Here is a 10,498-nt window from a genome sequence, read left to right on the forward strand (position 1 = left end):
AGCAAGCTAGGCTCTATCAGACAGAAGTGAGAGGAGAGAACAGTGAGAGTGTTTTAGTTGTTAAGAGAGCTTCGTGAAGAAGAAAGATTTTGAAAAATGAGCAGCACAGAGAAATGTGACATGAAAAGGGAAGTGCCTGGACTCTGGAGTCATATATCCCTGGGTTCAAATCCTGACCCCACTTGTCAGCTATCTGACCTTGAACCAAGTTAACAAACCTCTCTGAGCCTTTCTTTACTCATCAGAAAAGTGGGAACAATAATCAGCACTTCACACTGTGATTGGGAAAATCAAGTGACACGAGGCCAGATGTTGGTATGCAGAAAGGGACCCAGAAGTGGTAGCTGTTGGAGAAGTTTGCAGGATGACATGGGCTTGAAAGCAGGATGAGCAAGAAGAATGCTAAATATAAAAATAGAATCTCAGGCTGGGCATGGTGGCTCACGCCTGTAATTCCAGCACTTTGGGAGGCTGAGGCAGGCGGATCACAAGGTCAGGAGTTTGAGACCAGCCTGGCCAATATGGTGAAACCCCGTCTCTATTAAAAATACAAAAATTAGCCAGACGTGGTGGCGGGCACCTGTAGTCCCAGCTACTTGGGAGGCTGAGGCAGGGGAATCACTTGAACCCGGGAGGCAGAGGTTGCAGTGAGCCAACATTGCACCATTGCACTCCAGCCTGGCAACAGAGTGAGACTCCATCTTAAAAAAAAAAGAACAGAATCTCTTACTAGCTGCCATTCATTAGTTGTTGACTAAATGCAGGTACCTAGTGAATCCCTTAGAGGGTTTGTAACTACAGGGTTGCTAAGAGCCCAGTAGAGTCAGATGACCTGGATCCAAATACAGGCCCCGTGTTTCCCTGCTGTGTCATCATGGGCAAGTCATTTAACTTTTCCAACCTGTAGTTCCCTCCCTTGTAAAATGCAGGTATTAATTGTGCTTTCCTCAAGTGGTTTGGTGGGGATTAAGTGAGACAATGTAAATAGTCATTAGCACAGTGCCTAGCACAAGAAAATACTTTAATGTTTGCTACCATTATCATTATTTACATTCATTTTCTCATTTAATCTTCACAAGCCCCCCATGAGTTGTATTATTGTCCCCTTGTCCAGGGCAACCGTTAGCAAAGATGGGGCCAGCTCTGAAGGACAAGAAATCTCAGCTTCTTTGTTCTCTGACCTTTCAGATAAGCTGGTCAACGGTGCCAGGGTTGGGGCAATATGACAATTATTTTAAAATGCATTTTATGCCATAATCCTCGTCAGTCTTTTCTCATCTGGTGGTCCCCACGGCCTCACCACCTCATCTGCTGAAGGTTTCAGATTTAGGGCTGTGTGTACCCCAGAATGCAGCCAGCAAGCACATTAGTGTTGCCCCTCTGGGCACTTGCAGCTTCCCAAGGTTGACACAGTTTATGAAATGTCCATTCTGATTTGCAAATAGGTCTGACACGGACATGCTTCCAGCTGGCTGGTGATTTCGATAACAACCTCTCCTCCTTGGTGCCAATTAACAGAAATTAAATGTCCCTGGCACACTTTGTAATTCAGAAAATGCTGATTAAACCCCCGCTGGGCGTCCATTATGACCTATGGGCTCCAGGCAAGTGCTGCTCCCACTCCATCTCCATTTAAAGTCGCAGAATGTTTTCTTCCTGGGCAAAAATCAATGTCACTTCATTCACTTACTCATTTTTTTTTCAACGGATATCAACTGAGCATCTACTATGGGCTATGTGCCAGGTGTTGTTCCGTACAGTTGGGATACAGCAGTGAACAACACAGATAAGGTTCCTACCTGCAGGAAGTGGAGTAAATGGCAAAGAAGCAGGAGAATTTCTACATGTCAGATGTTATGAAAGAAACAAAGTGATGGGACAGAGAATGGCTGAGGGGCATGAGCTATATTACGTAGGGTGGCCAGGGAAGGTTCTCCAAAGGGATGACATTCGAGTTGAGACCCGAAGACTAAGAGGGAACCAGACACGCAGCATAGTGGGAATAGCAGGAACAAGCTCAACCTGTCCCCTGTCCATGAAACTCTCCATGGGGTAGGTTTCATTAACACTCTTTTTTTTTTTTTTTTTTTTTGAGACAGAGTCTCGCTCTGTCGCCCAGGCTGGAGTACAGAGGCGCGATCTTGGCTCACTGCAAGCTCCGCCTCCCGGGTTCACGCCATTCTCCTGCCTCAGCCTCCCGAGTAGCTGGGACTACAGGCGCCCAACACCACGCCCGGCTAATTTTTTGTATTTTTAGTAGAGACGGGGTTTCACCGCCATTAACACTTTTTCATTTATCAAACATTTTTTATCATACAATAAGTATTTGTTGAATGAACAATTGGAGAATAAATGAATCCCCTTTTATCCTGACAAGAAGGCCTGTCATAGGAAGGATGAACATAGGGAAGATGCCACTGGAGTTATTACAAGCGGAGAGGCAAATTACCGCCCTTTTCTCCACCGCGTTCCCCATCTCTACAACGAGGGACTTGGCTTAGGCACCAGCATTCAGGACTGTGAGATCTTAAGAACTCACCTTTCAGAGGAACTGGCCCTGGCAGTGCTTTAAAGCAGTAACTAGGCAGCAAACAATAAGCAAACTGACATCTAAAAAAAAAACAAAACAAAACAAAACAAAAAAACCAGCCAAAATGGTTGTTTGGAATTGTATACATGAAACATAAAATATAATTTCCTTCGTTATCATTAGGGTATAGTTATTGAATTTCTGCACCCACTTACTCATTCAGAAAATACTTATTACTAGTTGTGAGTCTCTTCTCTTCCTCCCTTCAGCCCTCTGCCCTCTCTCTCTCTCTCTCTCTCTCTGTTTCTGTCTCCCCCTCACTCCCCCAACCTTTCTCTGGCACAGCATTTCAAAGCCCAGGCTATAGATTTGGAACACCTGAGTTGTACCTAAAGTGTGACTTGCTGTGTGACTTTAGGTAAGTCACTTCACCTATCTAAGTCTCAGTTTTCTCATCTATATAAAGGGAATAATAATAGAAGACATCTCACAACACCATACAAAATAAACACTAAGGTATTATTATCTTTGTTACTATCCATTATTATCCTTTGATAGACAGGAATGTAAAGTTTAAAGAACTCAACTTAGGAAACTGAGACAGGTTTTTAGGGCATAAGAAACTCCAGTAACAAATGTGACAGCCACTGTTTAATGACCTGTTTCTACCTGTAGGATTTTCTATTCTTTGAGATAATTATGAAGCAGGATCACAAGAAATATCCTTCAGGAGGTCTTTTAATCTATAATAATAATTTTGAGCCAACAATTATAGAGCACCTGCTATGTGTCAGACACTATTCTATGTGCTTTACTTATATCAAACATCGACTTATTTAAAATTCCCACAAACAGATAAAATAAATACTATTACTACCCCCATGTTAATCGTAGAAACTAAGGCCTAGAGAGATTAAAAAACGTCCATGGGGTCACAAGGCTAGGAACTGTGGGGTTTGGAAATAAACCCAGGCAATCTGGCTCCAGTCTGTGGCTGCTAACTGCTTTCCACCTCAGTTAAGGTTGAGTGAAAGTACAGACAGAGTGGTTCATGCCTATAATCCTAGCACTTTGGGAGGCCAAGGCGGGTGGATCAACTGAAGTCAGGAGTTTGAGACCAGCCTGGCCAACATGGCAAAACCCCATCTCTACTAAAAATACAAAAATTAGCTGGGCATGGTAGTGGGCACCTGTAATCCCAGCTACCCGGGAGGCGGAGGTTGCAGTGAACCAAGGTGGCACCACTGTACTCCAGCCTTGGGCACAATGGCGAAATTCCATGTAAAAAAAAAAAAAAAAAAAAAAAAAAAAAGGATGAAAAAGCTATCTCCAGACATCAGGGGGTTTTGGTGATGTTTTTGTTTTTGTTTTTTACTTCAAATAGACTTGGTTTCTGAGTGCTCAGTAAACAAAGAATTATTACCTGCCTAATCCCAAAACCCCTGGCCTGTAGACAGTGCTAATAAGGGCTGCTACTTCATACTGCACAATGCCTGCCTAGGAAAAGTCACACCTCCTACCATTGATGGGATTTTTTGGGTGCCTATTAAAATGTCAGTTGATCTTAGAGTGGAAGTTCTTTCTACATCATTTAGCACAACCTGGAAGGTCAGATTAATGTGGCAGCCAGCTTTCCCTTGGCAGTTACTTCCTTATTACTTCCCTGCCCCTCACTTGTTCTCAGAAATGTTACATCACAATAAATGTCGTTAAAAAGAGCAAACAAACCACTGCTACTCGCTTGGGATGCAGATGCTGTAATCTGGGAGGGGCATTCTCACAGCTGCCGACACCAAGACTGATAATACAGATCAAAGCGGCCATCTCTGGGCCCATTGTGATATTAACAGGTTGAACCTTCTCCATAGGTGGACACCCAGCATCAGCACTGGCACCAACCTAGGCACAGGGAGGAGAGGCAGGATATGTCTAAGGCAGACCGCCTTCCTTTTGAGGGCTAAAATTGGTAAATAACAAAATGAACCCCCCGCCCATGTTCAGTGGTATGTAGTGAAGACAGCATAACTCCAAATCCTGTGTAATTTATTGACATGGTGAGACGCAGAATGCATCCTCGTTATCAAGGAATGCCTGCTTCTCCCGCTGAATGCAAAGCAGCCACCTGGAGCCTCTGACAGCTCTTACTTGCTGTTGTGCTGAATGGAGCACATTAGCTAATGAGGAAGTGCTGCATTGCATTTGCAGGCCCTGGGAGCTCAGAGCAGCTCAGTTTTGAGCCCAGATGTGGTTGTCTGCTTGAAAATTGGGGCTCCTCTGGTACATTCAGTCTCTGGAGCCAAAGATCTTAGTTCTGCCTTTGTAAGTTGGGAGTTTAGGTAAGACTCCCCAAATTGATGTGATAAGACTTCCACAAACCGCTTGTAAGATCTGACTGTTCCACACCACCCCCACAAAGAATGAGGCTGTGATCATTATTAAAGTTTCCCCAAAGAGAAAACTAGCCTGTTACATCAGCACAAGTCCCTGGACAGAAAAGAAATCAGGGTCTAGATGAAAGAAAATTGGACAGGAGATAGAAAATTATCGAACCAATTTCCCATCATCCTTTTAGCTTTCTCCTTTCCTCCTCCAGCATGGTTAGTTTGGACTTTATTTGTACTCAGAAGGGCCAAGAGCCATGCAACAAAGTCATAAAGATCGAACTTCTGTTATGTGCAATCAAACCACCTGCCCTCCCCTCACAAGGGGCTGCCAGAGAGGTTTGGCTGCACTTTCCTCTGGAGCATCCTCAGCCTAGAAAGAGAAAGGAGGCAAGAGATTGGCCAGGGAGGGGAGGATATTGATTACATGTGTGAGGATCATAGGAATGCAGGTTGAGTTTGGTCATCAAAATACAATATTTGAGACCTCAGAGAAATTCTGGGGGCTCATGGATTTTAACTTTTTATTTTTGAAATAATTTCAGACTTTTATAAATGTTTGCTAAAACAGTGCAAAGAGTTCCTGTAAACTCTCCCACTAGGTTCCCCAAAAGTTAACATTTTACCAGGTTCATTTTTATTTTTTCTGGACCATTTGAGTGTAAGTTGGAGACTAAATGCTCACTTATCCCTAAACATTTCAGTGTGTATTTTTTAAAAATAAGAATATGCACTTACATAACCATAATAAAATCATGTTGATATAGTACTATTAACTAGTCTACAGGTCTTATTCAATTGCCCTTCTATTTTTTAATTGTCCTGTTTTCCCTTATAGAAAAATTATTTCAAAAGTCTTTTCTAGGACCCCTTTCAAGACCACATCTTGCATATAGTTGTCATACCTCTTTAGTTTCCTTTAATGTGGAACAGTTCCTCAAGATTCATTTTCTTTCATGGTCTTGGAATTTTGAATATTATAAGCCATTTATTTTATGGAATGTCTCTCAATTTGTGTTTGTTGTTTCTTCATCATTAGATTCAGGGTTTAGAGTAGGAGTAGGGGGCTTGGCAGTAACGGATGATAACCGGTAGAATGAAATAGGAATCCCTGAGCCTATACTGACATAAATAAATAAATGTAGGAGAAGGAAAAGCTCTCCCTTATGGTCAAGTGCCAACCTCTGAGTGTAAAAGGAATTATGGAATTAAAAAAAATAATTTGGCAACCATTCAGTAGTAATTGGTTCAGGCAATAACCATGAATGAATATTAAAACTAGTGGATGAAAGCTTGAAAAGTCTCAGAATATCTCCTCACAAGATACTTATTAGTCACTGAAGGAAAAAGAAATCACAACTTTACAGTACCAAACACCTTAACCAAAACACCAAAGTTAGCATCACAAGCAATGAGGAAACAGATACTGTGTACCTCCTGATATGATGCACTCAGAAGACCACAGCATCTCTTCTGGGAGAAGATAAATTTCTGCCCAAAAGATGTTAAGAATTCTGAAGAACTATAGTTCTTCCCAGCTGCATTCGCACACAACAGACTCTGAAATCCTTTTTACCTTACAGAGCCTGCCTTGGTCATCTTCCCAGGAGGAATTCATGACAACTGGGATGCAGAAGAGAGCAAATGATCTGCTGGGATGGAAACTGCTCAATGGAGAGTTTGTGGACTGCATGATATTCCTTGAACATCAGGGATGGTACAGGGATACCAATAGTCTGGCCTCCAAGACAGGAGAGTAATAGGAGGAAGAGCAAATCTGTCTTCACCTGCAGTATTAATGGGTGGTGGGCCAGAATGGAGGAAAGCAAGTGAGTCATGTGCTGCTACAGGTTACACCAAACTCCCATCCCTCTGTTACTCACTGCTGTTGTCAAAGCCAAACTTTATCTTGCTAATTTCTCACAGCTTGGCACCTAACAAATGACAAGGCAGGACATCCAATGCCTTCGAGCTCTGTGGTCTGGCCTGTCTCTCCAGATCAGATTTAGAGTGAGGTAGCAGATGACATAATATTCTCTTTGGTGTTCAATCCGAAGAGGCCAATGCTTCAGCACAATGTCCCCTAGCCATCACCCCCAGCCCGACTCCCCACCAAGCATCCTGCATCCCTCTGCCACATCTTCATTCTTTTCCATTCTGTCTTTTCCCCGATACCTTCTGACCCCAGGGATTTCTAATAGAGCATAATGATCAAGAAAATAAAGACCTGGTACATAAAGAGTCTCAGAAAAAAAATCCATGATGTTATATGAAAGATACCAAACTGCAATGCTTACAAAGAGGCTATTTCAAGTAGAAAGATATAAATATCACTTATAACCATGCATCCTTTATGTTCATAAATAAGTCATCATAAAGAACAAGCCATTAGAAGACATTCTAATCCTTGTTTTTAAAAAAAAGACTATAATCTAAGATACAATTCTAAAATTACTGTGCTAACCTGCAAGAGACATTGCTCACATAAATGAAATTCATATATACCGTGATGTTATTTGAACCATATATTTTCATCTTCTCCTCCTCTCTTAAGACATCAATAAGAATTTGATTTTTAAAGGCACATGCTGCTCTGATTATCAAAGACAATAACACAAATGCAGCATCACTGGGATATGTCGGTTGTTTTAAAGTTCAGATCCTAATTTTACTGAGGAAGCATCCTCAGTTTTTCATCCAGCCCTGCTTGTAAACAGGATCCAGCATCAGCCAGACCATGAGCAGAGTAAGGATTGCATCTGGAGGTTACAGAAATGTTTTCTTCTATGTGAAGCTATCACATGCAGGGGTTAAACAGGCAGCCATCTTTTAATGCGATGAATAATTTGGACTTCTTAGCCACACCCTTGTCTCGGTTAACCACAGGAGGAGGTGACAATACACCACAAGAAGCCCCAGAGTTCTGGCTTTATCTGCCAAGTGGTAGGTGAGAAGGGAAGAGGTGGGATTGAGCACACTGGCTATTTATACCTTGTCTTCAAAGCCCTCTTAGTCACATTTCCATCTTCATGCATTGGCTTCTGCCTTACAATTGAGCAATAGGAAACCACCACTCCTAATTTTTGCACGTGCTGCTTTTTAAGTCTCTGGGAACTTTCCATGAGGTATAGTGGAGGGTTTCATAAGGATTTAGCTCTTCCTTCGAACCTGCTTGGCCGATAAACCAGATATTTTTTTAAAACACAGCATACAGATTCCAAATGATCAAGGATCAAAAAGTGTTGGGGATGTCAGGAAGGATGCAAGGATGGGCTTGAATGATCACAATGAGTCAACCCAGAAATGTGCAGTAGAATAGTTTGCTAATGGTGACATCTGAGTTGCATCTCCCGGAAATATTGTTTCTTATTATTACACTTTGGGTCGGGGGAAGGGGTGTTAAGGGTAAAAAGAGGAAGGAGCAAATAGATAAAGAGAAAAATTCATGCCTCCAGGAAACATAAGCAGAAAAACTATAGACTTGTGTCTCTGCTTATTTTTTTAAGTACAGTGTTTTTAATAGACCAAAGAGAATCTCTATGAGTTAATATGTATGTGAATAATGTTTATAAAAGGGGTATAATGTGTTAGTCATTATGGAATATTGTATAAATAAACCTTCCATATATAAAACATATAAAAAATGATTGCTTAGGGCAGTGGACACTTAAGGACTTCCAAACCTTTCATATCTTCATCCCAAAAAATAGAGCGTTCCAGGGCTGGCAACTTATTTCCTTAGTATATTCCACTGTAAAGCCAAGAGGTGTGGGGGCTTGTTTTCTGGTTTTGTAATTTGTAATAATCCGTATGGATTACTGTAAAATGTCTGTTGCATGTGTGTTGGTGTTGGTGTTGGTGTTGTTTACCCACATGGAGTCATCAGAGATTTGTTCCACACTTTGTATCCTGGAAAACCAAAAGGAATTTTCTTTTCTTCGAGACAGAGTCTCGCTCTGTCGCCCAGGCTGGAGTGCAGTGGTGCCATCTTGGCTCACTGCAACCTCCGCCTCCCGAATTCAAGTGATTCTCCTGCCTCAGCCTCCCGAGTAGCTGGGACTACAGGTGCGTGCCACCTTGCCCTGCTAATTTTTTGTATTTTTAGTAGAGACGGGGTCTCACCGTGTTAGCCAGGATTGTCTCGATCTCCTGACCTTGTGATCTGCCCGCCTCGGCCTCCCAAAGTGCTGGGATTACAGACGTGAGCCACCATGCCCGGCCTGGAATTTTCTAGTAAGAAGAAAAACATACAGAATATGTCTTCACTGTTGGGTAACTCTCAAATTTGTAGCAATCCAGATTTTTTGTAAAACTGTGCTAATGGGATATTTAATGTCAGAGTTATTGTCTCTCACTTCAATATCTAGTACTGGATAATGTTTCTCCTGGGAGCACGTATTTTTTTTTCAAGTCCTCTTTTCCTGGACTTAACATGTTCTTCTAGAAGACACCAGAAGTCATGACCCTAAGCCCCCTCCCTTCAGGACCACTTTCTACCATCGGTTTTCAAAAAACTATCCACATGTTAATTCTGTTTTATGTTCTGTGATTCTGTGGTAGACTCAGTGCTTTCAGAGTCCAGAGCTTGACTTGGGTTAGTGGCCTTAATGAAGTGCTAAATTTGCTCTTTACCGCGAGACTGATCAGAAGAAGCAAAAGGGGAAAGGGGGCTAGAGGTCCACTCGCACCTTTTACATCAGACAAGAGGAGGACTGTGCCAGAAATCTGTGCATGAAACACCATCTGCTCTTCATGCAGGGAGGGGTCAACCGTGTGAACGTGCAGAGATTACTCGAGCCTTCTTTGCCAAAAATATGCATTCTTCCCAGCTGTAAGCGTGTGAAGCCAAATATGTCTTTTAGCATGAAACAATAAAAACATGTTTATTTTCACTTAATAGGTTATTCCCCAGGCCTGGATTTTTTTTTTTTCAGTAGTTGATTTGGAGAGGGCAACACTTCATCATAAATTGTCAACAGTGAGCATTTGATTTCTCCCAAAGGGGTTTAACTCCTGGCAGCTGCTCTGGACATCCAAAAGGGAGGGTTGGGAGGAGAGGAAATCACTTTGACGGATGGGAATTGCTAAGTTTCAGTGGAGGTAGGTGGAGAAACAGGCAAGAAACACTTCCTTTTAATGCTCAGCAGGCTGAATTCACCTCTGTGGAGCAAACTCTGGTTTGTACAACCATGAGGGCCCACAAAGGCCTCTTGGCTGGAAGTCTTCTCTGCCTGATGAGTGCAAAGGTTAGGTGCACAGCCTCAAGTGCCTGATTTCCTGTGTTGCCAGCTGTTTAGCCTTGGGTAAGTTACCTAACCTCTCTGTGGCTCAGATCCCTTTTCTAGAAAATGGAGATATAATAGCACCTTTCTAAGGGATGTTAAGGATAAATTTCTTAAAACATGTAGAGTGCTTTGAAGAGTGCCTGGCACATATAAGTGCTTCATAAAATTAGTATTTTACCACCTTCACAATGTTTGCCATATCCATCTATTGCCTGTGTTATTATTTACTTAAAATTCTTATTTTAATTGACTCAGTTTTCTTTTTTGAGGTGGGGGCAACTTCATCTCTAGTATCAACTTTC

The 10,498-nt window shown here is 42.1% G+C and overlaps 1 protein-coding gene across 3 annotated transcripts in view, besides 4 other annotated features; it reads left to right on the forward strand.

The window, feature by feature from the left end:
* SH3RF2 (SH3 domain containing ring finger 2) overlaps positions 1-9,808 on the forward strand; it is a 145,196-nt gene extending 135,388 nt beyond the window's left edge. For all 3 annotated transcript variants that reach the window (XM_006714757.2, XM_011537568.3, XM_017009136.2), the window contains exon 11: positions 6,495-9,808. The gene's annotated coding sequence lies outside the window, so the exon portion shown is untranslated. The remainder of the gene's footprint in view (positions 1-6,494) is intronic.
* Positions 722-1,676: an enhancer, noted in NCBI's record as "OCT4-NANOG-H3K4me1 hESC enhancer chr5:145452250-145453204 (GRCh37/hg19 assembly coordinates)". NCBI's record gives its function as "activates a minimal SCP1, AML or CMV promoter by ChIP-STARR-seq in naive H9 embryonic stem cells {active_cell/tissue: H9 hESC(naive)}" and the evidence as "EXISTENCE:reporter gene assay evidence [ECO:0000049][PMID:30033119]".
* Positions 1,677-2,629: an enhancer, noted in NCBI's record as "OCT4-NANOG-H3K4me1 hESC enhancer chr5:145453205-145454157 (GRCh37/hg19 assembly coordinates)". NCBI's record gives its function as "activates a minimal SCP1, AML or CMV promoter by ChIP-STARR-seq in naive H9 embryonic stem cells {active_cell/tissue: H9 hESC(naive)}" and the evidence as "EXISTENCE:reporter gene assay evidence [ECO:0000049][PMID:30033119]".
* Positions 2,321-2,490: an enhancer, noted in NCBI's record as "experimental_81014 CRE fragment used in MPRA reporter constructs". NCBI's record gives its function as "activates a minimal promoter by MPRAs in K562 erythroleukemia cells, with activity observed for both the introgressed and non-introgressed 5:145453934 variant alleles {active_cell/tissue: K562}" and the evidence as "EXISTENCE:reporter gene assay evidence [ECO:0000049][PMID:34662402]".
* Positions 4,614-4,783: an enhancer, noted in NCBI's record as "experimental_81045 CRE fragment used in MPRA reporter constructs". NCBI's record gives its function as "activates a minimal promoter by MPRAs in K562 erythroleukemia cells, with activity observed for both the introgressed and non-introgressed 5:145456227 variant alleles {active_cell/tissue: K562}" and the evidence as "EXISTENCE:reporter gene assay evidence [ECO:0000049][PMID:34662402]".
* Positions 9,809-10,498: the final 690 nt, after the last annotated feature.

This window comes from Homo sapiens, chromosome 5 (assembly GCF_000001405.40).
Source record: "Homo sapiens chromosome 5, GRCh38.p14 Primary Assembly".
Taxonomy (NCBI): Eukaryota; Metazoa; Chordata; class Mammalia; order Primates; family Hominidae; genus Homo; species Homo sapiens.